This window comes from Homo sapiens, chromosome 12 (genome assembly GCF_000001405.40).
Source record: "Homo sapiens chromosome 12, GRCh38.p14 Primary Assembly".
NCBI lineage: Eukaryota > Metazoa > Chordata > Mammalia > Primates > Hominidae > Homo > Homo sapiens.
In genome coordinates, this window is record NC_000012.12 from 71,706,829 (window position 1) to 71,732,384 (window position 25,556).

The 25,556-nt window shown below is 39.5% G+C and overlaps 1 long non-coding RNA gene across 1 annotated transcript, besides 5 other annotated features; it reads left to right on the forward strand.

The window, feature by feature from the left end:
• Positions 909-1,114: a silencer, noted in NCBI's record as "fragment chr12:72101517-72101722 (GRCh37/hg19 assembly coordinates)". NCBI's record gives its function as "represses an EF-1alpha promoter that drives an FKBP-Casp9 reporter gene in an ReSE screen in HepG2 liver carcinoma cells and K562 erythroleukemia cells {active_cell/tissue: HepG2 | K562}" and the evidence as "EXISTENCE:reporter gene assay evidence [ECO:0000049][PMID:32094911]".
• On the forward strand, positions 1,637-24,221 carry LOC107984530 (uncharacterized). Its single transcript, XR_001749202.1, has 3 exons — positions 1,637-1,693; positions 13,295-13,413; positions 24,125-24,221. It is a non-coding gene; the product is annotated as an uncharacterized LOC107984530 (long non-coding RNA).
• Positions 2,851-4,050: an enhancer, noted in NCBI's record as "P300/CBP strongly-dependent group 1 enhancer chr12:72103459-72104658 (GRCh37/hg19 assembly coordinates)". NCBI's record gives its function as "activates an origin of replication core promoter dependent on BRD2, BRD4, P300/CBP, MED14 and CDK7 cofactors, with strong dependence on P300/CBP, by STARR-seq in HCT116 cells {active_cell/tissue: HCT116}" and the evidence as "EXISTENCE:reporter gene assay evidence [ECO:0000049][PMID:35650434]".
• Positions 18,427-18,627: a silencer, noted in NCBI's record as "peak1823 fragment used in MPRA reporter construct". NCBI's record gives its function as "represses an SCP1 promoter by STARR-seq MPRAs in K562 erythroleukemia cells {active_cell/tissue: K562}" and the evidence as "EXISTENCE:reporter gene assay evidence [ECO:0000049][PMID:32103011]".
• Positions 18,427-19,639: a biological region, named in NCBI's record as "MED14-independent group 3 enhancer GRCh37_chr12:72119048-72120247".
• Positions 18,440-19,639: an enhancer, noted in NCBI's record as "MED14-independent group 3 enhancer chr12:72119048-72120247 (GRCh37/hg19 assembly coordinates)". NCBI's record gives its function as "activates an origin of replication core promoter dependent on BRD2, BRD4, P300/CBP and CDK7 cofactors, and independent of MED14, by STARR-seq in HCT116 cells {active_cell/tissue: HCT116}" and the evidence as "EXISTENCE:reporter gene assay evidence [ECO:0000049][PMID:35650434]".
• Positions 24,222-25,556: the final 1,335 nt, after the last annotated feature.

Genomic DNA, 25,556 nt, shown 5'->3' on the forward strand with positions numbered 1-25,556 from the left:
ACATGGTGAAACCCTTCTCTACTAAAAAATACAAAAATTAGCCGGGTGTAGTGGTACATGCCTGTAGTCCCAGCTACTCAGTTGGCTGGCTGAGGCACGAGAATCACTTGAACCCAGGAGGCAAAGGTTGCAGTGAGTTGAGATTGCACCACTGTACTCCAGTCTGGGCAACAGAGTAAGACTCCATCTCAGAAATAAAATAAAATAAAAATCTAGGAAGAAAGATTAGAAGGATGTACACCAAAATATTCTTGTTATCTGAGATAATTACAGATGTATTTAATGCTATTAAAAATACACATACAAAACTAATTTTAGGTTTTTTCTAAAGTCTGTAATCAAATTTGTTTTTTCTATGAATCAAAAACATGCTCAAAGTAAACAAAATAATCTCTGGGAATCACCCTTCTTTCCCTTCCACCCCCTCCTCATTATTTCAAATCTTATTTCTTCTCTTTATAAACTACTTTATTAACAATGAACTGAAAGAGTAAAATGGAATTTTAGTATAACATAAAAGTAACAGTGGATACTCAAGGGAATTTTTTGATACCTTTAAGACGGGATATTTCCCTTGACCTCTTCACAGGACTTGTGAAGGGGTAGCTCATTTACTCAGCCCAAAGCTCTGAACCCCTCAAGAAGCGGAAGCACACAGGTGAGCAGGTGCAGGAGCCGGGGCGAACAAATGCTGGAACCATCTGGTCACTCCTCTCTGGTAGGATCAAGCTTTGAGCAGGCCTCGCGGCAGAGTCCAAGCATGTTACAATGCTCTTTTAGCTCTGCCTTCCGGGAGGGGGTGTCTGTGACCCCCAGAGCCCCAGAGGGCATGTGTTACAATCAGTGCTCTTTTAGCGTTTGCTGTTCGCAGATGGCTAAGTGTTCACCACCTCAGTGGAGGGTGAGGGTCACAGCCTTTTATACTCTTCCCTCTTGGTACTCAAGTTCTTGTCTGTCATCCAGGAAGAATCAGGTCACAAGAACCAGTTGAAGGGTGGTGTATGCGGATAATTTTATTGAGAGATGGAAGTGGCTCTCAGTGGGAAGGGGAGCTGGAGAGGGATGGAGTGAGCAGATAATCTTCCCCTGGAGTTTGGCCATGCCTGGCCAAACTCTTCTCTGAAGTCCTGCCATCAAGCCATCCCTCTGAAGTCAAGCTGCTTTTCTCCAGCTGCTTCTCTTCTCTCCTCCTCTGCCGCTCCGCTCTGCTCTCCTGCCAGTGGAGCTTGGGGGTTTTATGGGTACAGGGTAGGGGGTGGGACAGGCCAGGGTGGTTTTGGAAAAGGCAACATTTGGGTGGGAAAACAGGGATGTGAAGTTCTCATTTAAGGCCTCTGGTCCAAGCTTGAGGGTGGAGCCCTCACCAGGGACCACACCCTTTTCTACCTAGTATTTCCCTGCTTCCTGTTTGTATCACCTTCACTTTCAGATTCTTGTAGGAATTAATGTAAGTATCACATATCTTCTTGCCCATGTAGCGAATCTGGTATGAGACTGGGGTTTTGGCAAATTTTTCAAATTCTTCTGATCTTGTTTAGCTATTTGCATTTGGAATAATACGTGGCAAACACCTTATTGCATGACAAGATTCTCAACACATTGTCATAGAATTCTAGAATAAAGAACCTTGAGGAACCTTTTTACCTCATTGCCCAGACTTGAAGCTAAAAAATACATATACTATCTCATATGGGTGAGTATAATCTTATCCAACTCTTGAATGCTTCCTTTCCTTTATATACCCATCCATTATGGCTGGAATTCTTTTCTACTCCCTTACTGATCCTTAAAAAACCAGCTCAATAACACTTCCTCTGAGAAGCTTTTCCAGAGTGTAAGAATTTTCTCTTTCCATTAAAAATTATTTGAACATATTTCTAATGGCTGGGCAATCCAGCTTAGAGATCACCATACTTTCATTTGTTATTTGAGGGCATTTAGTTTTTTATTCTATATGTGTTATAATAAATAGCATAGTGATGACTGGTTTATGGAAAAGTCTTGGACTACCTTGTGTAATTGTTGCATCAAAGGCTTTTGTTAAGCATTACTTAATTGCTCTTTGGAAAGATTTCAGCAGTTTCTAATAACTCAGTGTATGAGCGTACTGGTCTCACTGCAGCTTCAGCAGCACTGAATATTATTGCTTCCTTAATCTTTGCCATTTAGATTAAAAAATGGTGTCCTGTTTTTAATTTCTAAGAAATGAATCTTGAAGGAGGACACAGAAAACTGCACAGTCTATGTAGTCTTCCAAAGGAAAAGCATTTTGGAATATAATAGTAGTAGTTTATGCTGTGCCGGGTACTGTTTTAAACACTTTTCATACATTAACTTACTTGATTCTCACAACAACCATATGAGGTAAGTACATTATTCATTTTTGTACCAATAACAAAACTGAGCTCAAAAAGGTTAAGTAAGAAAGCATAGGTGATAGACACTCAGATTAACTAAAGATAGAAGAAAATACTGAGCAGTTGGGGAATTATTATTTGTGTTGTAATAGCAAAACTATAGCTCGTTCAGCCAGCACTGAGATTTTCCAAAAGACAAAAAAAAAATCCAGTGGGTAATTGTGCTAATGGGACAGGAGAATTGAGAGAATTGAACTATTCCCATTCAGCAGCCCCTCTAATTGCCCTCTGACTGAAGTTTTTGTTTTTTCTAAAGCAAGACTCTATTAAGAGTGAAAAAGTTACTTCCAGAGTAGTAGAAGATATCTGCAGCATGTAGGTCCAACAAGGGATTCATATGCAGAGTATAAAGCAAACACCTGCAAATTAATAAGAAAAGACCCATCAACTCAATAGAAAAATGAGCAAAACACTTAAACAGTCACTTCATAAAAGAGGATATCCAAATGGCCAATAAACATCTGAAAAGGTGCTTAACATCTTTAGTCATCAGGGAAATGCAAATTAAAACCACACTGGATACCCCACCTACCAGAATAGCTAAAGTGAAAAACAATAGAAAATACTAAATTGTTGAGGAGATGCAGTTCAAATAGAACTCTTGTACTGCTACAGGGAATATGTTTAGTACAACCACTTTGTAAAAGTGTTTAGCAGTATCTGCTAAAGTTGAACACATACACTTTGACCCATTGATCTCATGCCGAGGGCATATTCTCAAACGAAATACCCATACCAGTTCTCTTCCTCAGTTTTCACAATGTCATTTTTGCTGCAGTTATTGATCATAAAAGTCACAAGGCCAGGAAGACTCAAGGTATAAGACAATATATTCCACTTCTTGATGGAAGCAGTAGCAAAGTTAGGTGCAGAGGGGAAAGGTGGCAGAGAGGTATGATGGATTGAGGGTTCTTATTCTAACACTATACCACGTTCTTGCTTTCTCAGCCCCTGGGTATCTATCCTCTTCTGGTAGGCAGTCTCACCTCTCCGGCAGTGATCTTGGCCAAGATTTAAGACAACCTCATGATAGGGTTTCACCGGGTCATCCACATGCTCCATGGGAAAAATCCCTTGCTTTGACAGTCCCTGAGAGTGCTAGTCGATCTCAGTGTAGCAGCACCTTTCTGGTTCACCATCAGAGAGGCAAGCATTTTTGTGTTTTCTGGAATCCCTGGCCATGAGTCAGCCCCCAGGGTAACAGTCCATTTAATTTTCTCAGGCATGAGTCAGGCACCAGTCATCTCTGTCTCCAACTAAAGGAAACACTCTTCAAAGGTACACTTAATGCCCCGTCACTAGGCCTGATGTTGGAAGGCGGCAATCTCCCACTCCTCCCCAGGTTGGAGATTTACAGCCTGACTACCACTCCCTCTAAAGAAACTCTTCCCTACTCTTACAAAAGCTTTTTCCTCTCAGATTCCATTTTATGATCCTTACCTGGCTAAGGAGTCTATAAGTTGTGCAACACCTTGTAGACTTGTGTCTAAACCATTCTTTTTATAAGTTCTACATAGAGAGATGTATGTCTCACCCTCAGTTCAGTTTCCCGTTGTCTGTTATACCACTTCTCAAGCAAAACTAGGCAATTAGAGTCATTTCTATCCTAAAACCCCATTTGTTAGCAGTGTACACATATGATGTGTGGCTAATGTGTAGCAAAACACTATACACTAGTGTATATGTATGATAATAGAGGATATGACAAAGTTCAGTGAGACCTCTCTACCTGACTGCTTGGTGACTGAATTGTGAAGGGGCATGACGTGTGAGGAGTGACTGCGACTAGAAATTAGGTGGAGGGAGTTGTGTGAAATGAAGCTAGAGAGGTATGATGAGATCCATTTGTAAAGGCCCTAATACTAGTATAATCCTGGGGCAAAAAACAAATCTATTAGTCTTCCTGTAAGGAAAAGTACTGTAATTTCTATTCCACCACATTGTTGATATTAAATGAGTTAATATATGTGAAAATCCTTTGGAGAAACCATGTATAGTAGACAGTAAGGGTCCCCTCAAAATGTCCATGTTCCAATCCTCAAAAATGGTAAATATTTGCCTTCCATGGCAAAGAGGACTTGCAGACATGATTAAGGTTAAGAACTTTTAAATGGGGAGATTAACCTGGATTATCCAAGTGGACCCAACCTAATCATGAGTCCTTCAAAGCGGAGGACCAGTCAGCAAGATAGTGGACTAAGAAGCTACAGGCCCTCCTTCTCCCACAGAGTCACCAAGTTAATAGCAGTATACCGACCAGAATACCTCTGTGGGGATGCTAAAGTTCAGTTGAGAAGCTACAGCACCAAAGTTATTGTAAAACTAAGAAGGGGGCTGGGTGCGCCAAAGTTATTGTAAAACTAAGAAGGGGGCTGGGTGCGGTGGCTTACGCCTATAACCCCAGCCATTGGGAGGACAAGGCAGGCCGATCACCTGAAGTCAGGAGTTCGAGACCAGCCTGGCCAACATGGCAAAACCCCATCTTTACTAAAAATATTAAAAAATTAGCCAGGCATGGTGGCAGACACCTGTAGTCCCAGCTACTTTGGAGGCTGAGGCATGAGAATTGCTTGAACCCAGGAGGCAGAGGTTGCAGTGAGCCAAGATCGTGCCACTGCACCCCAGCCTAGTCAACAGAGCGAGACTCCATCTCAAAACAAAACAAAACCAAAACCAAAAAGGGAGTACCAGCAAAAGGGATAGGAAAAGAAGGACATTATATAGTGATGGAGAAGTCAATGCTCTAAGAAAATATAACAATTATTAATATTTATGCACCAAACCTCAGAGCACTTAAATATATGAAGTAAACTTTGACAGAATTGGAGATAGAATTAGATAGCCACATAATAGTAGGAGACTTCAATACCCCACTTAAAAAAAAATGGAGAGAACAACCAGCAGAAGATCAATAAGGAAATAAAGAAATTAAACAACACGGTAGATCAATTGGACCTAAAAGATATATACAAAGCACCCCACCCTAACAACAGTAGAATATACATTTTTTTCTAGGGCGCATAAAATGGTCTCCAGATAAACCATGTGTTAGACCACAAAACAAGTCTTAACAAATTCAAGAAAATGGACATCACAATGGATTAAACTGGAAAGCAATAGCACAAAGAATACGGAAAAATCTACAAATATGTAGAAATTAAACAACATACTACTTTTGACCAATAGGTCAAAGAAGAAGTCACAAAGAAAATTGGGAAATACCTTGAGACAAATTAGAATGGAAACAATATTTCAAAACTTATGAGATGCAACAAAAGCAGCACTAAGAGAAGTTTATAGCTATAAATGTGTACATTAAAAAAGAAGATCTCAAATCAACAACCTAACTTTACATCTTAGGAAACTAGAAAAAGATGAACAAACTAAATCCAAAGCTAGCAGAAGATAATAAAGATTAGAGCAGAGAGAAATTAGAGAACAGAAAAACAGTAGGAGAAAATCAACAAAACTAAGAGTAGCTTTTTGAAAGGATCAATAAAATTGACAACCCTTAGCTGATTAACTTAAAAAAAGAGAGAAGACTGAAATAACTAAATATAAATGAAAGAAGAGATGGTACAATTAATGCCGAAGAGATAAAAAGAGAATAGTATAAGTGAATACTATGAACAATTGTACAGCAACAAATTGGATAATCTAGAAGGAATGGATGAATTCCTAGAAATATACAACCCACCAAAATTGAATCATGAAGAAATAGAAAATCTGAGCAGACCAATAACAAATAAGAAGATTGAGTCAATAATCAAAAACCTCCCAACAAAGAAAAGTCCAGGACCAGATGACTTCACTGGAGAATTCTACCAAACATGTAAAGACTAATTAACATTTATTTTCCTCAAAGTCTTCCAAAAAATTGAAGAGGAGGAAACACTTCTAAGCTTAATCTATGAGGCTATCATGACCCTGATACCACAGTGAAAGACACTACAAGAAAAGAAAACTACACACCAATATCCCTGATAAATAGTGGTGCAAAAATCTTCCACAAAATACTAGCAAACAGAATTCAATAGCACATGAAACAGATTATACAGCACGACCAAATAAGATTTATTCTGGACTGCAAGGATGGTTCAGCTGGTGAAACTCAGTCAGTGTAATACACCACATTTACAAAATGAAGAGCAAAAGCCACACAATCATTTCAATGGATGTAGGAAACACATTTGACAAGATTCAACACCCTTTCATAATAAAACACTCAACAAACCAGGGATAGAAGTAAACTACTTCAACTATTAAAGGCGATTTATGCAAAGTCTACAGCTAACATACTCAATGGTGAAAGACTGAAAGCTTTTCCTCTAAAATCAGGAAGAAGGCCAAGATGCCCACTCTGGCCACTTCTATTCAACATAGTATTAGAATTTCTAGCCACAGCCATTAGACAAGAAAAAGAAATAAAAGTATCCAGATTGGAAGGAAAGAAGTGAAACTACCTCTGTTGGCAGTTAACATGATCTTATATGTAGAAAACCATAAAGATTTCACAAAAAAAACTATTAGAATTAATAAATGAAGTCACCAAGTTGCAAGATACAAAATCAACACAAAAATTAGTTGCATTTCTGTACATTATCAATAAACAATCTGAAAAGGAAATTAAGAAAAACGCAATTTACAATAGCATCAAAAAGAATAAAATACTTAGGAATAAACCTAACCAAGGAGGTAAAACACTTGTATGCTGAAAATTATAGAACATTGCTGAAAGAATTGAGAGAAGACACAAATAAATTAAAAGACATCTTGTGTTCATGGATTGGAAGACAATATTGTTAAGATGTTCATACTACCCAAAGCAATCTGCAGATTCAGTACAATCCCTATCAGAATTCCAGTGGGGGCCAGACACAGTGCCTCATACCTGTAACCCCAGCTCTTTGGGAGGCCAAAGCGGGCGGATCTCTTGAGCCCAGGAGTTTGAGACCAACATAGGCGACATGGTGAAACTCATTTCTACAAAAAAATACAAAAATTAGCTGGGTATGGTGGCATACTCCTGTAGCCCCAGCTACTCAGGAGACTAAGCTGGGAGGATCTATTGAGCCTGGGAGGTTGAGGCTGCAGTGAGCCATGATTCCACCACTACACTCGAGCCGGGGCAACACATCAAGACCCTGTCTCAAAAAAAGGAAAAAAATTCCAATGACATTTGTTGCAAAATAGAAAAATTCATCCTAAAATTCATATGGAATCTCAAGGGACCCTAAATGGCTAAAACAATTTTGAAAAAGAGTAACAAAATTGGATGACTCACATTTTCTTATTTCAAAAATTATTACAATGAGACAGTAATCAAACGGATGTGTTCTGTCATAAAGACAGACAAATAGACCAAGGGAATAGAATAGAGAGCCCAGAAATAAATTATCTTACATATGGGCAAATGACGTTCAACAAAGGTACCAATAATAGACAATGCCAAAGGATACTTTCTTCAACAAATGATATTGGAATACTGGGTATCTGCATGTAAAAGAATGAAATTGGATCCTTACCTTACGCTGTATACAAAAATTAACTCAAAGTGGGTTAAAGACATTAACATAAGATCTTGGCTGAGTGCAGTGGCTCACTCCTGTAATCCCAGCACTTTGGGAGGCCAAGAAGGGTGGATCGCTTGAGTCCAAGAGGTTGAGACCAGCCTGGGAAACATTACAAAACCCTGTCTCTACAAAAAGTACAAAAAATTAGCTGGACATGATGGCGTGCACCTGTGGTCCCAGCTCTTCAGAAGACTGAGATGGAAGGATCTCTTGAGTCCAGGAACAGAGGTTGCAGCGAGCCAAGATCGTGCCACTGGCTGCACTCCAGCCTGGGTGACAGAGCAAGACCCCATCTGAAAAAAAAAGAAAAAAGCCCATTAACATAAGATCTAAAACTTTAAAACTCCTAGAAGAAAACACAGGAGAAAGCTTCATGACATTTGACTTTGCAATGATGTTTTGGATATGACAACAAAAGCACAGGCAAGAAAAGCAAAAATAGACAAATGAGACTACCTTAAATTTAAAAATTGTCGTGCATCAAAGAATACAATCAGAGTGAAAGACACCGTATAGAATGGGGAAAATAATTACAAATCATATCTCTGATAAGGAGCTAATATTTAGAATATAAAGAACTACAACTCAACAACTGAAAAATTAAAAAATCCAATTAAAATATAGGCACAGAACTTGAATAGATGTTTCTCCAAAGATGATATACAAATATATAAGCATATGAAAATGCACTCAACATCACTAATTTTTAGAGAAATGCAAATCAAAACCACACAAAGATGTCACCCACACCCATTAGGATGACAACTCAAAAAAAAAAAAAAAAAGGAAAATAACAAATGTGGTCAAGTATGTGGAGAAATGAAACCTGTGCACTGTGTTGGGATGTGAAACAGTGTGACCACTATAGAAAACAGTTTAGAGGTTCCCCAAAAAATTAAAAATAGAACTACCATATGATCTAGTGATTCCACTTCTGGATGTATATCCAAAAGAATTGAAAGCAGGGTCCCAAAGAGATAGCAGGGTCTCAATCCCATGCTCATGGCATTGCTATTCACTACCCTCAAGAGATGGAAGCAACCCAAATGTCCCTCATGGATGAATGAATAAATAAAATGTGTTATATACATACAGTGAAATATTATTCAGCCTTAAAAAGGAAGGAAATTGTGTCACATTCTACAACATGGATGAAGCTTCATTGAGTACATTATGCTTAATGAAATAAGCCAGTCACAAAAAGATAAATGCTATATGATTCTGCTTATATGAGGTATCTAAAATTCATAGAAACGGAAAGTAGAATGGTGGTTACCAGGAGATAAGGGGAAGGGGGAAAACAGATGTTTAATGGGTACAAAGTTTCAGACTGAGGGGTGAAAAATTTCTAGAGATCCGTTTCACAGGAATGTGAATATACTTAACACTATTGAACTGTGCAATTAAAAATGGTTCAGATTGTAAATTTTATGTTTTTTTACCACAATTCAAATAAAATAGGTAAATACAAAAGAGAACTCTTCCTAACTATGGTCAAAGAAAGTGATGCAACTACAGAGGAGTCAGAGAGATGCTGGTTTTGAAGACGGAGGCAGGAGATTATGAACCAAGGAACATGGGTGGGCTCTAGAAGCTGGAAAAGGCCAAGAAATGTGTTCTTCCTTATAGCTTCCAGAAAGGATCACAGTGCTGCTAACAGCTTGATTTTAGGAATTCTGACTTACAACACTAAGATAATAAATTTTTGTTGTTTTCAGCCACTAAATTTGTGGTAATTTGTTACAGCAGCCACAGAAAACTAATACACCATGTCAGCTTTGAGTGGCAGAGTAATGAAGCACAGACTCTGGAGCTCAACTGCTTAGGTTCAAATGCTAGCTCTGCCACTCTCTAGCTTTGTGAACCTGTTTGCTTAACCTCTCTGTGTCTCAGGTTCCTCATCCATAAATTGTTTTGTTTTTTTTTCGTGGGATGGGGGGCGGGTCGGTGATGGAGTCTCACTCTGTCGCCAGGCTGGAGTGCAGTGGCACCATCTCGGCTCACTGCAATCTCCGCCTCATGGATTCAAGCCATTCTCCTGCCTCAGCCTCCTGAGTAGCTGGGATTACAGGTGCACGCCACCACACCCAGCTAATTTTTGTATTTTTAGAAGAGATGGGGTTTCACCGTGTTGGCCAGGATGCTCTCGATCTCCTGACGTCATGATCCACCCACCTTGGCCTCCCAAAGTGCTGGGATTACAGGCATGAGCCACCACGTCTGGCCTGTTTTTGTTGTTGTTGTTTTATGAGATGGAGTCTCACTCTGTTGTCCAGGCTGGAGTACAATGGCGCAATCTTGGCTCACTGCAACCTCTGCCTCCCGAGTTCAAGCAATTCTCCTGCTCAGCCTCCCGAGTAGCTGGGATTATAGGTGCCCACCACCATGCCCAGCTAATTTTTGTATTTTTAGCAGAGACAGGGTTTCACCATGTTGGTCAGGCTGGTCTTGAACTCCTGACCTCAGGTGATCCACCCACCTCGGCCTCTGAAAGTGCTGGGATTACAGGCGTAAGACCACGTCTGGCACATAAATTGGGGTTATTAATAGTACTTCATGAAGTAGTTGGGAGGATCAAGGCAGTTAAGTCACCTGAGGTACCTAGTACAGTTTCTAGTAGACAGTAAGTAGCCAATATGTTTTACCATTACTATACTATTCAACATGACTAAAGTGTCATACAACTGCAGGGTACTTCTGTTCCTTTTACATTTATTGTTGTTACTATTCTGTGAAAAAAGATGAGTCCCAATCTGATATGCATAAAGTGTTTGTGTAATTCATTTCGCAAAAAGTAAGAAGGATAATTTTTTTACACCAAGCTATATTAATCAAACCTCATTCTTAAACTTTTGGGGTCATTTTTCTCCTAATAAGATAAGGCATACTAATAGGCACAAGGCTCACTATGCTTCTTTAGCCTTTTCAATATTTATTCTCCTAACGTGCCTCATGTATTCAGGCCATCTAGACTATTACCGGTTCCAGGATATACTCTGTGCTTTCTAATATCACCACATTGTTCTGCACATTCTTTTTAGAGGGCTCTTGGTTTTGTACTGGCAGAAAGTTCACTGGCGTCTGTGAGAATGTATATGTACTTCTGCATTTAGAATTAGATCCTGGAGTGATTCAGGAATGGTAAACTAACCTGTGTGCCAGTTTACAAATTCCTTTCCTCTCATTTAATTTTCACCTCCACCCCGACCTCCAAATGCCCCTAGAGCCCTTAAGGGAAGAAACAGGAGGTATTACAAAAAAGTAGGAGATCCTCTCTGAATGTCTAGATCACTGTGTTGCCTGCTCAGCTTCCCTCTGGTAGAAAGGGGGAAAAGTCAACTGACTTGAGAGGACACATGGTCTCTGAGCCATCTTTGTGCCATGATTGCTGTCCCATTTTTCCCTAAGAGCTGAATGGATTTCACCAGTTTTTACGTAAGTAATATGACATTTTGGAGAGTTGGGCTGTCGGAGGATTTTTTCACTACCCACCTATCAGAAGTGGGTTAAGAAGCCACTTTTGGCTTCTCAATTATAATTAAGATTGTTAAGGTGACTTGACCCTGTTGGTGTGTAATTAATAATGCAGCCTTCACAAGATATAAATGCTCTTTTAATTAGCATGGTAAAACAAAAGGGAAGATACACTCTTACACAAAGGAATAAGAAGCTTATTACACAAAACAGTTTGGGTTTTGTTTTGGGTTTTTTTTTGCTTTTCATTTGGAATGTTTAAACATATACAAACAGATTAATATAATATACCAACTTCAACCATTATGGGCATGCTGCCATTCTTGTTTATCTAGACCACCACTCATTCCCAGTCCCAGCTAGATTTTTTTTATGGTCCTATTTTTCTGAGGTGAATGTTTCCACATTGAAATACACACATATTTTTAACTGTGCAACTTTGACAAATGATATGCCTATGTGAAGCACTCCCCTGTCAAGATATAGAACATTTCCATCATCCCAGAAATTCCCTTGTGTCATTTCCTATCAATCCCTCCTCTTTTCAGAGGCAAGACCATAGTTTTGCCTGTTCTAGAACAACATACAAATGGAATTATGTAGGATGTACTCTGTTGTGTCTGGCTTTTATCACTATAATATCAGAGCTTTCTGTGCATGGTGGCATGTATAAGTAATTCATGGCTTCCCATTGCTGAAATGTATTCTATTGTATGATGTCATCCACAACCTCCAGGATGGCTCCTTTTTAGTCCTCTCCCATATTGAATGGGGGACTAAATATTGGTCTGTGTTACCAATAGGACATAGATGAAATGACGGTGTGTGACCTCTGAGGCTAGGCCATAAAAGACATTGCCGCTTCCACCTGCTTTCCCTGGGATCACTCATATTGGGGAAGGCCAGTCACCGTGTCATGGGGGCACTAAAGCAATCAGCAGAGAGGCCCATATGGGGAGAAACTGAGGTCTCTTGCCAACAACCAGCACTGTGTAAAATAGATCTCCAGTCATTGTCAAGCTTCCAGCCTGGCCAAAATGTTAACTGCATCCTCATGAGGGACTTCAAGCCAGAAACACCCAACAAAGCTGCTCCTGAATTCATGACCTACAGAAACTATGTTCATGAGAGATATGGGTCTGCAGTTTTTCTTTCTTATAATTAGGCATTAGGGAAATGCTGACCTTATAAAGTAGTGAGTTAGAAAGTGTTCCCTCTGTTTCTGTTTTCTGTAACAGTTTGTAAAGAACTGGTATCTTGTTCCTTAAATCTTTGGTAGACTTCACCAATGAAACCATCTAAGCCTGGTAATTTCTGTTTGGAAGGTTATTAATTGTTGATTCAATTTTTAAAATAGAAAGCCCTGTTCCGATTATCTCTTTTTCCTTGTGTGAGTTTTAGTAGATTGTGTCTATGCAATAATGGTCAATGGCCAGGTCAAGGGTGGAACAGGACACAACCAGCAGAAAAGCCCTGAGGCAGGAAAGAGCTTGGCATGTTAAAGTAAGGGAAAAGTGGCTCTTTTATCTGGACCCTAGTGAGCCATAGTGAGAGTGAGACAAGGAGGTGGGAGCATCAGGCAGAAAGAGACTAGACCGATGAGCTTTGCCTTGTCAGAATTTAGGACTCTATCTTACGGCAATGGGAAATCACTGACAGCTTTTACAAATCTCCTTGAATCTGAGATGTAGCCACATTCTGAAGTCCTCATTCTCTTTAAGATCTTCATTCTGCAAAGCCAAAAAATCTGTCTGGGGAAATTCAGCAATGACTAATACGCGAGTAGATCAACAGGCAAACACTGATTTTTTTTTTTTTTTTTTGGCACAGGTATTAAAGCAGTTGTTCTCAATGTTGGCCTCAAAGTGGAATCACCTGGGGAGTTTTGAAAGCTCCTACTTCCTTGAAACCCTAATTTTAGAGACTTGATCTAACTTGTCTGAGATAAGGTAGGAGGATTTCTAAATGCTTCTCAGTGATTCATATGTGGAGCCAAGGTTGAGAACCATTAGCAGGGAAGCTAGAATGCTCACAGTTTTAATAATTTGTATTCTACCATGTATGCATTCATTTTCTGAAACAAGTTTTAACAATAGTCAATATGTTGGCCAGGAACTATACTTAGTGCTTCAAAAAGGTAGACTTTTTAAATTGTCGTGACAACCCCTCAAGAATTTTCTTACATACAATTAAATTTTTTTAATCTTATTTTCCCCCATTGGATAGATAAGGAAACTGAGATATAGAATTTGAATAATTTGCCCAAGGCTTCATCGGTAATAAACAGAAGAGCTGGCATTTGAACTCAGGAAGTATGGCTCCTAAGTCCTCTTTTGCATCTACTGTTCCCAAACCTCTATTTATGGAGTCAAAATGAAGATGACAACCTGCCTGCTTTCTACATTGCCAGCACAAAGAAAGAGAACTGCTTCTTGTAATTCACGTCCTCCAAAAACCAGACCCAAGCCCAACGGGAAAAAGTCATAAAATAATAATCTCCACCAAAAGGGAAGAAATTTTATATTTATATATTTTTAAACCACATAATGAAATTCAAGTGCTATAAAGAAAAATTACTAGAAATATAAAAAATATTAATCCTCAATTAAATATATTGGTAGGTAAATTGAAAAAGAAGTAGGTCACTGTAGTGGCCTAGAAGGTAAAGTAGAAGAACTCTCCCAAGGCATACAACAAAAAAAAGTGATAGGGAAATTAGGAGGGAAAAGATAAGCAACTGGAGGAAAAAGTCAAGAGGTCTAATACATAAAATATAGGCATTCTAGATACACAAAAGAAACATTGCAGGAGGGCTAAATACCTAATTTTATAAATTAAAAGAGCTCCCAGAAATCCAAGATAGACTAAATTGATGAAAAATGATATATATAAAATCAGGTAAAATTCCTGAACTTTGAAAAGCAAATATTATTTGCTACCATTTAGAAAGAAAAAGTTGTCAAAAAAGAAAAAGAATCAGACTTGCATTGTACTTTGTTGGAAACTTGAAAGCAGTGGAATATCATCTTTAGAGAAAAGGCAAGATTCTCTACCTAGCTATGCTATGTGAAGTATATCCTAAGCCCCCTGACTGACTGAATGGACCCCTCTTGGCCAAGGAGAACCCAGAAAAACTAGAAGTTAAATTTCTAGGCCATGACAAGACAGGAAGTCAGTCACACCTCAGTATACCCCTTTGTTCATTAACTGTTACCAGATCTTTTCTTTCTTTCTTTCTTTTTCTTTCTTTTTTTTTTTTTTTTTTTTTTTTTGAGATGGAGTCTCGCTTTGTTGCTGTGCTGGAGTACAGTGGCATGATCTCAGCTCACTGCAACCTCCGCCTCCCGGGTTCAAGTGATTCTCCTGCCTCAGCCTCCCAAGTAGCTGGGTAGCTGGGACTACAGGCGTGCGCCACCATGCCCAGCTAATTTTTTTTTTTTTTTAATTTAGTAAAGATGGGGTTTCACCATGTTGGCCAGGATGGTCTTGATCTCTTGACCTCATGATCCACCCATCTTGGCCTCCCAAAGTGCTGGGATTACAGGCGTAAGCCACCACGCCCAGCCCTGGATCTTTTCTTAAGAGTTAAACAGAAAGCAGCCTTGGCAAACAAAGAATGGAAAACCCTTCCACTGACTTCAGCTGCAACCACCACCTGACACTATGGCCAGACTCCCCTCCCTTTTGCAGTTGAGACATGGCAGCTTACCAGTTTCACAAAGTGTTCCTTCCTGATAAATAACCACTGACCATGGGCTGTTTCTGGCCGGTTTACAGCGGCTATCCACACAGCACCTCTGTGTCCTAAGTTTCACATTTTGATGTATAGAGCCTAATTTTAGTGCATTTTAACATTAAGTCTCCACCCCAAAGTGAACATGAAACATATGTAACATGTATGTTTGCTTACCATGCATGACCACAACCCCCCTTCATGGATATTTATAGTTTCTCCTTTAGCCTGTTAAATATGTGTTTAGCCAACCCATTTAGCATAGAACTCCTGTCCCACCCTACCTCCCTCAAAGTGTCTGCTTTTGGTCTTAGCTGGAGGCTCTGCTTCCCAGCCTACAGGTTGCAGCCTTACTCAAGAAATAAAGTTCTCCTTTCTGGATTTATAGATCTCATGTTTTTTAGGTTGACAGATATAATTAATCTGTCAAAGGAAAAAAAGGTCTTTGAGAATGTGCAATAATTCAGAGGGTCACTCACATGACTCATCTGAGAAAGATATTAAAGAAAAGACAACAATTTATTTTGAGATGTACAAGCACTTCAAAATAGTGAGAAGAGAGAAAAAACAGAATGAGCAAAAATACACCCTGCCATCTATGTGCATAGTTATATGTAAATGAATAAGAATATACTGGATGTATTAGTCTGTTCTCACACTGCTATAAAGAACTACCTGAGGCCGGATGCAGTGGCTCACACCTGTAATCCCAGCACTTTGGGAGGCCAAGGCAGGCAGATCACCTGAGGTCAGGAGTTCAAGACCAGCCTGGCCAACATGCTGAAACCCTGTCTCTACTAAAAAATACAAAAAAAAAATAGCCAGGCCTGGTGACGGGCACCTATAATCCCAGCTACTTGGGAGGCAGGAGAATCGCTTGAATACAGGAGGTGGAGGTTACAGTGAGCCGAGATGGTGCCATTGCACTCCGGTCTGGGCGACAAGGCGCGATTCTGTCTCAAAAAAAAAAAAAAAAAGTAAATATAAAAGCTGTTCAAAAGATTAAAATGATAAAGTTAACAAGATAATAGGCAAAATATCTCAAGCAAATGCAAACAAGAAAGCAGAAATGACACCAATAATATAAGAGTAAGTGGAATTTAAGATCAAAAGCACTAAACAGGATAAAGATTGACATTATGTACTTTTTAAAAGGCACAATATGGCCAGGCGCAGTGGCTCATGCCTGTAATCCCAGCACTTTGGGAGGCCAACGCAGGCAGATCACTTGAGGTTGGGAGTTTGAGACCAGCCTGGCCAACATGGTGAAATCCTGTCTCTACTAAAAATCCAAAAATTAGCCAGGCACTGTGGCATGTGCTTTTAATCCCAGCTACTCAGGATCTTGAGGCAGGAGAATTGCTTGAACCCAGGAGGTAGAGGTTACAGTGAGCCGAGATTGCACCACTGCACTCCAGCCTGGGTGACAGAGGGAGACTCTGTCTCAAAAATAAATAAAAAAAATAAAAAATAAAAGGTACAATTTATGAAAAAGGTATAATTTTATTGTACTTATTTTATTTATTTTTTTAGAGACTGGGTTTCACTCTGCCACCCATGCTGGTGTGCACTGGCATCATCATAGCTCATTGCAACCTTGAACTCTTAAACTCGTGATCCTCCTGCCCCAGCCTCCCAAGTAGCTAAGACTACAGGCATGTGACACCATGCCCAACTAATTTTTAATTTTTTTTTTTCTTTTTTTGTAGAGACAGGAGCTTGCTATGTTGACCAGGTTGTTCTTGAACTCCTGGCCTCAATCAATCCTCCTGCCTTGGCCTCCTGAAGTGTTGGCATTATAGACATAAGCCACCATACCTGGCCTGAAAAAGGTAGAATTTTTAAATTCTATACACCAAACATCATGCTGGTAAATTATGTAAAGCAAAAACATTAGAAATGCGTAATATAGAGAAGTATTTAGTGGAAGACATAAATATATTTCTGTTAGAATTGATCAATTCTAGGGCAACTACACAATAAATTACCTTGCTTTAATAGCTACATTTAGAATCTTTTATTACTCTAACAGACAATATTCTCTCTTTTTTTTGTATGTCCTTAGAACATTTACATATACCATGTATTTTCTCACGAAGAACATTTTTTTAAAAAATAACAAATTTTAAAAAGTAGAGATACTAGTAACTACCTTCTCAGATAATAACATAATAAAAATTAGGGGAAAACCAAAGGAAGTTATAAGCTACTTTGGATGCAGTGAAAAGAAGACTGCATACCAAAACTTACAGGACATTTGAAAGCTGAATCCAGAGTGAAATGTTCGCCATTAAATAAATTTATTATTAAATAAGAAAAACAAAAAGGAACTAATTTTTTATCTTAAAAATTAAAAATTAACAAAGTATACTGAGACACGAGGATTTTAAAAAATAATCTAGTAGCCAAAATCAGTGAAACAGAGAACAAACAAAAAGAATAGAAAGTATGCATAATTAAATAAGCTGGTTCTTTGAAAACAAAATAAGTAAACTCATGTGTCTAATAAAGTAAAATGGATACAGCAAAAATAGACACAATTAGGCATGAAAAAGAAGACATACTACATATTCAGCAAAGAGGAAAATAATTATGAGGCTACAAGGAGACTTCAAAAAGTTTATGGAAAAAAATGGATTAAAAGATAAAAATAAGCAGGAGGCTCACTTGAGGCCAGGAGTTTAAGATCAGCTTGGGCAACAAAGAGAAACCTTGTCTCTACAAAAAGAAAAAAGATAAAAATAAAAATTACAAACTTTATTTCTCAACATGAGTTCCATCAAGTCCAAGACAGTTTTGTAAGCAATAATACCAGCCATTTAGTCCATCCCTAAAGAACTGAGGGTCCTGGGAATTTAACCATGTTGATGCAGGCTTTTTTACATTATTTACTTAAGGAAAATGGGTGCCCTTTACAGACTTTTTAAGATAAGGATACAAAAATAAGTAAGAAGGAGCCACATCAGGACTGTAAGGTGGATGCCTAATGATTTCCCATCAAAACTTTCACAAAATTGCCCTTATTTGATGAAAGGAATGAGCAGGAGCATTATTGTGGTGGAGAAAGACTTCGGTAAACCTTTTCCAGATGTTTTTTTCTGCCAAAACTTTAACTAACTTTCTCAAAACACTATCATTATAAGCAGATGTTATTGTTCTTTGGCACTCCAGAAAGCCAACAAGCAAAATTCCTTGAGTATTTCAAAAAACTGATGCCATGACCTCTGCTCTTGATTACTCCACTTTTGCTTTGACTGGACCACTTCCACCGCTTGGTAGCCATTGCTTTGATTGTGTTTTGTCTTCAGGAGTGTACTGGCAGAGCCATGTTTCATCTCTAGTTACAATTCCTTGAAGAAGTACGTCAGAATCTTGATCCCACTTGTTTAAAATTTTCATTGAAAGCTCTGCTCTTGTTTGCACCTCTGCTCTTGTTTGCAACTGATCTGGTGCGACAGTTTTGGCACCCATGAAATGGAAAGTTCGCTCAACTTTTCAGTCAGAATTGCGTAAACTGAACCAATTGAGATGTCTATGGTATTGGCTGTTGTTTGTGCTGTTATTCATCAGTCCTGTTCAGTTAAGGCACAAACATGATTAGTATTTTCCTCAAAAATTGGATGATCTTCCACCGTAGACTTCATCTTCAATATCATTTCTTCCCATCTTAAAAGAAGCTATCCATTTGTAAACTGCTGATTTCTTTGGGGCATTGTCCTCATATACTTTTTGGAAAGCATCAATGATTTCACCATTCTTCCACTCAAGCTTCCCCATAAATTTGATGTTTGTTCTTGCTTAAATTTTAGGAGAATTCATGTTGCTTTGATTGGGGCTCTTTTCAACCTGATGTTGTATCTTTCACATGTTATAACAAGTTAGTACAAGTTTGCTTCGGTGGAAACAAATTTTGGAATTTGTGCACAGTTTTTTTTTTGTAATATGCATTTTTTAATGAATCTTTTGAAGTCTTACTACCGCCAATTTTACAGCAACAAATTTGAAAGCCTTAAGCAAATGAATAATTTTTTAGTTAAATATGTTACCAAAAATTGGTACTCTGTAAAAAATTACAATCTTTACAAAAGAGATAGTGCTATGGACTAAATTGTGTCCCCTAAAAATTCATATATTGAAGCCCTAATCCCCAATATTTGGAAAAAGGGCCTATAAGGAGGGAATTAAGAGTGGGACCCTAATATGATAGGGTTGATGCCTTATAAGAAAAGGGGGCTTGACTTGGTGGCTCACGCCTGTAATCCCAGCACTTTGGGAGGCTGAGGCAGGCAGATCACAAGGTCAAGAGATCGAGACCATCCTGCCTAATATGGTGAAACCCTATCTCTACTAAAACTACTAAAATTAGCTGGGTGTGGTGATGTACCCCTGTAATCCCAGCTAACTGGGAGGCTGAGGCAGAAGAATCACTTGAACCTGAGAGGCAGAGGTTGCAGTGAGCCGAGATCACACCACTGCACTCCAGCCTGGCAACAGAGTGAGACTCCATCTCAAAAAAAAAAAGAACAAAGGAAAAAAGAAAAGGAAGAGTCATCAGAGCTCTCTCTTGCTTTCTGCCATGTGAGGACACAGTGAGAAGACAGTCATCTACACGAGAGTCCTCACCAGGAATTGAACCAACTGGCACTTTGATCTAGGACATTCCAGTCTCCAGAACTCTGAGAAATACCTTTCTGTTGTTCAAGCCACCCAGTCTGCAGTATTTTGTTATGATAGCGCAATCAGATTTAGATGATGTTTAGATGAGACTGAACTTTAGACTTTAGAAATCATGCTGGAGTGAGTTAATACCTTTGCAGCTGTTGGAATGGACTGAACATATTCTGCATGTAATAAGGGAATGAATGTTGGGGGTTAGGGGTGGAGTGCTATGAGCTGATTTGTTTCCCCAAAATCCATATGTTGAAGCCCTAACCCCTAATGTGACTATATTTGGAGACAGGGCCTAAAAGGAGGTAATTAAGGTTAAATAAGGTAATAAGGGCAGAGACCTAATCCAATAGGACTGGTGACTTATTAAAAGAAGAGACACCAGAGCTGTCTCTCTCTACTATGTGAGGACACAGTGAAAAGGTGGCCATCTATAAGCCAGGGCTCAGGTGATCCTGCCACCTCAGCCTGCTGGGTAGCTGGGACTACAGGTACCTGTCACCATGCCTGGCTAAATTATTATTTTGGAGACAGAGTCTCACTGTCACCCAGGCTGGAGTGCAGTGACATGGTCACAGCTTACTGCAACCTTGACCTCCCAGGCTCAAGCCATCCTCCCACCTCAGCCTCCTGAGTAGCTGGGACTACAGGTGCACACCACCACCCCTAGCTAACTTTTAATTTTTTTGCAGAGACATGGTCTCCCTATATTGCACATAATGGTCTTGAACTCCTGGGCTCAAGCAATCCTCCCACCTCAGCCTCCTGAGTAGCTGGGACTACAGGTGCACACCACCACCCCTAGCTAACTTTTAATTTTTTTGTAGAGACATGGTCTCCCTATATTGCACATAATGGTCTTGAACTCCTGGGCTCAAGCAATCCTCCCACCTTGGCCTCCCAAAGTACTGGGATTATAGGCATGAGCCACCATGCCCAGTATGAAGATGATAAAATAAAATCTACCACTTGAAAAAGGCTCTGGTACCAGAGCCTTTGACAACTTTTAAAGAACAGATAATTGCTTTTTTTTAAGGTATTACTTAGATTGTAACACTTCCCAATTTATTTTAGGATGTCAGAATAAATTGAAAATCCATTTTCTAAATAAAAGTAAAAACTGTAGTCTGGTATTAAAAAAAAATTCAAGCAAGATTTGTTTCAGGAATGCAATAATGTTTGAACATCAGGAAATCTACCAACATAATCCGTTACTATAACAATTTAAAGAGAGAAAAATATACAGTGAGATCAACAAATGCCAAAATATTTATTTGACTAAATTACTAGCCATCCGTATTAAGCCATTCTTGCATTGCTATAAAGAAATATCTGAGACTGGTAAATTTATAAGAAAACAGGTTTAATTGGCTCACAGTGCTGCAGACTGTACAGGACACATAGTGCAGGCATCTGCTTCTGGGGAGGCTTCAGGAAGCTTTGACTCATGGCGGAAGGCAAAGCAGGAGCTTGCATGTCACATAGTGAAAACAGGAGCAAGAGAGGGAGTGGGTGGGGAGGTGTTACACACTCAAACAACCAGATCTCCCAAGAACTCACGATCCCCGAGGATAGCACCAAGCCATGAGGGATCTGCCCCCATGACCCAAACATTTCCCCCCAGGCCCCACCCCCAACATGGGGGATTATAACCGCCCCCAATGACCCAAACATTTCCCCCCAGGCCCCACCTCCAACATGGGGGATTATAATTCAGCGTGAGATTTGGTGGGGACATATATTCAAACTAGATCACCATTCTAACAAAAATTCTAAGTGAATAAAAATAGGAGGAAACTACCTAAATATAACAAAGACCATTTAGCAAACTACAGTGGCAAATAGTTTTTTAAATGGCAGGCCAAGTAAACAATTTACGTTCAAATCAGAAACTAGGCATAGAATCATGTTTTCACCATCTTTATTTAACACCGTCTTAGAAGTTTTCATGAATACAATAAGATGAGAAAATGGAAGAACTGGCATAAAAATTTTAAAAGAACAGTTTAAATGATCTCTTTTTGCTGATGACGTTATATACCTAGAAAACCTAAGAAAGCCAGTAAAATACTTGTAGAGTTAACAAGATAAATTGGTAAGGTGGCTATATATCAAAGCAATATACTAAATTCAATAGGTTTTTCAATTTTCTGGCAATAAGCACCTAGAAATAAAAAATGAGAAAAAATATTCCATTCATAATAATGGAAAAACCATATAAAGTGCTTCAGAATAAATTGAAAAAAAAAAAAAAAAACTATGAAAAGAAAAAGAAAATTTTATTGACAGCCACAATTTAAGAACATTAGACCTGAGAAAGGGGAAGATAAATTATATGTTTGGATGAGAAAACATAACAGAATAAAAATGGCAGTCTTTTCAAAAGTAATATATTAATAGTTGTCATCCAGTTATGTTTGTTCTAGAAAAGGATAACAATAACTGTAACATTTATATGAAAGGTGAAATGCTACAGAATAGCCAAAAAATATAAGAAATAAGAACAATGAGGGCCGGGCACAGTGGCTCATGCCTGTAATCCCAGCACTTTGGGAGGCCGAGGTGGGCGGATCATGAGGTCAGGAGACTGAGACCATCCTGGCTAACACGGTGAAACCCCGTCTCTACTAAAAATACAAAAAAATTAGCCAGGCATGGTGGCGGGTGCCTGCAGTCCCAGCTACTCAGGAGGCTGAGGCAGGAAAATTGCTTGAACCTGGGAGGTGGAAGTTGCAGTGAGCCAAGATCGTGCCACTGCACTCCAGCCTGGGCGACAGAGCGAGACTCCATCTCAAAAAAAAAAAAAAAAAAAAAAAAAAAAAAAAAAAAAAACAATTAAGTGGTATTTGCCTTATTATATTTTAAACATTTGATACAAATACTATATCAAATCAATATGATATTACAGTAGGAAAACACAAAAAAAGTCAATAACCTATACAAAGAATGTCCCCCTCTCTCTATATGAATTTAATACATAAAAAAGGCTGGGCACAGTGGCTCACGCCTGTAATCCCAGCACTTTGGGAGCCTGAGGTGGGCAGATCACTTGAGGTCAGGAGTTCAAGACGAGCCTGGCCAACATGGCAAAACGCTGTCTCTACTAAAAATACAAAAATTAGCCAGGTGTGGTTTTATGTGCCTGTAATCCCAGCTACTCAGGAGGCTGAGGCAGAAGAAATCACTTGAACCTGGGAGGCGGAGGTTGCAGTGAGCTGAGATGGCACCACTGAACTCCAGTGTCGGTGACAGAGCAAAACTCTGTCTCAAAAAAATAATAAATAATAAAAATATATAAAAAAGATGATAGTTTACCTGGAGAGAGGGTGGATTATTTTTTAAATGGCATGGCACAACTGGTTGCCCATCTGGAATAAAATAAATTTAAACCAGTTATTTACCATATTCAAATATAATTTGTAGATAGAATATGATAGAACATTTTTTTCTAGATATTTCAAGAAAATCAAATACCGTATTTACGATTTAGGAGGGGAGAGACTTTCTTAACTACAAATGAAAACTCTGAAACCATACAAGAAATGGTAAACATATTTGAATTTAAAGAAACAAAAATAGGCCAGGGGTGGTGGCTCACACATGTAATTCTAGCACCTTGGGAGGCCAGCCTGGGCAACAGACACAGTCTCTAAAAAATATATATAAGAAATTAGCCAGGCATGCTGGCACAGCCTGTAGTCCCACCTACTAGGGAGGCTGACATGGGAAGATTGCTTTTGCTCAGGAGGTTGAGACTGGTGAGCTGTGATCACATCAATGCACTCCAGCCTGGATGACAGAGTGACACTCTGTCTCAAATAAAGAGATAGCTAGATAGATAGATAGATAGATAGATAGATTATAGATTGATAGATGATAGATGACAAAAATAAAAATAAAAAACAAAAAATCCCCTCAATGGTCAAAATTCCAAATCAGCCAGTCAATTTCTACAATATGCTACATACAGTTGGCAAAATCTACTGGAATTTTGACTGAGATTGTGTTTTATCTATGTAGCAATTTTCAAATAATTGACATCTTAACAATATTTCGTCTTTTAATCCATAAACATTGTATGTCTCACTATTTAAGTTTTTGTTGTCTCTCAGAAATACCTAGTAGTTTTCAGTGAAAAGGTTGTTCCAAGGTGAACAGGTCTATGCAAACCTATCCCCAAAGTCAGAATGTTATAAATAAAGTTTCAGTGCCGCAAAAGAAATCTCACTCGAATGTAAAATTTTCTTTTTACTTCACAGCAAGGCAAGGTACTTCTATAGCAGGGTGCGCCCTTACAGATGGAGGAATGGTGAGCACACACTTGGACAAGGGAGGGGAAGGGTTTCTTATCCCTGACGCACGTGGCCCCTGCTGCTATATTGTTCCCCTATTGGCTAGGGTTAGACTGCACAGGCTAAACTAATTCCGATTGGCTAATTTAAAGAGAGTGAGGGGGTGAGTGGTTTGGTGGGAAAAATGGTTATGACAGGATGAGTCAGGGTGGAGCAGGTAATCGGAATGAGTCAGGGTGGAGCATGTAATCGAAAAAGGTTGCTTTACCAGGAAGTTAAGTTTAAAAGCAGAAGGCAAATAATTGAACATACTGACATATTGATTCTTCGAAAATAAATTTAGAACTTATATCTAACAAGAAGAAGCTAAGAGGCCAAGAAAGAGGCTGATGTATCCAGTTTTTCAGAAAGGAACATTTCATAGAGACTTATGAACAGAAGCCATGTCCATGTCTTGGGCGGTAGGGAGAAAAGATAGTGTCTGGCATCATTACTCCCACCACCCAGGACTTACATACCATAGGAAAAGCGTGACTCAGAAGGATGTGTGGGACAACTGAAGTATGATAACATTGTTACGGAATTTCTGGGAAGGGAAGAGCGTGGTCCTTTAAATGATGAAGGGAGGAAGGGAGGAAGGAAAGTTCTGGGTAGTGTAGGGCAAGGTCCCTGACTAGGGCTCCACCCCCATGGACCTAGCTAAGGACAGGCACTCCTGCCTTGGAGCCCAAATGTTGCATTTCCCAAGTCTATCTTGGCCCACCATGCCCCCAGTCCTGTGGCTATAAAAACCCGAGATCCTAGCAGGCACACCCACAAGCTGCTGGACGTGGAGAGGAGCAGATCTGTGGAAGAAGACACAAGCGGCTGGATAAGGGCTGGCATGCCAGCAGGCCATCGACCAACCAGACGAAGTGGAGTTTGGCCCAGGAAGTCGGAAAAGAGCCAGACCGCTCAGAGGCCCAACTCCAGGGGAAAACCATCCCCCTTCTTGCTCCCCCATCGGTGGAGAGCTACTTCCACTCAATAAAACTTTGCACTCATTCTCCAAGCTCACGTGTGATCCTATTATTCCACTGCAACAAGGCAAGAACCCAGGATACAGAAAGCCATCTGTCTTTGCGACAAAGTAGAGGGTATAACTGAGCTGTTTAACACAAGCCGCCAGTAGATGGCAAACTAAAAGAGCACCCTGTAAAACACGCCCACAGGGGCTCCGGCTGCAAACATTCACCTTTAGACACTGCCGTGGGATTGGAACCCCATAGCCTGCCAGTCTGTATGCTCCCCTAGAGGTCTGAGCAGCGGGGCACTGAAGAAGTGAGCCAAACCCGCATCGCACACCCTGTGAGGGGGACAAAGGAACCTTTCCGTTCCAACATCAAGGTTGTTTTGACCC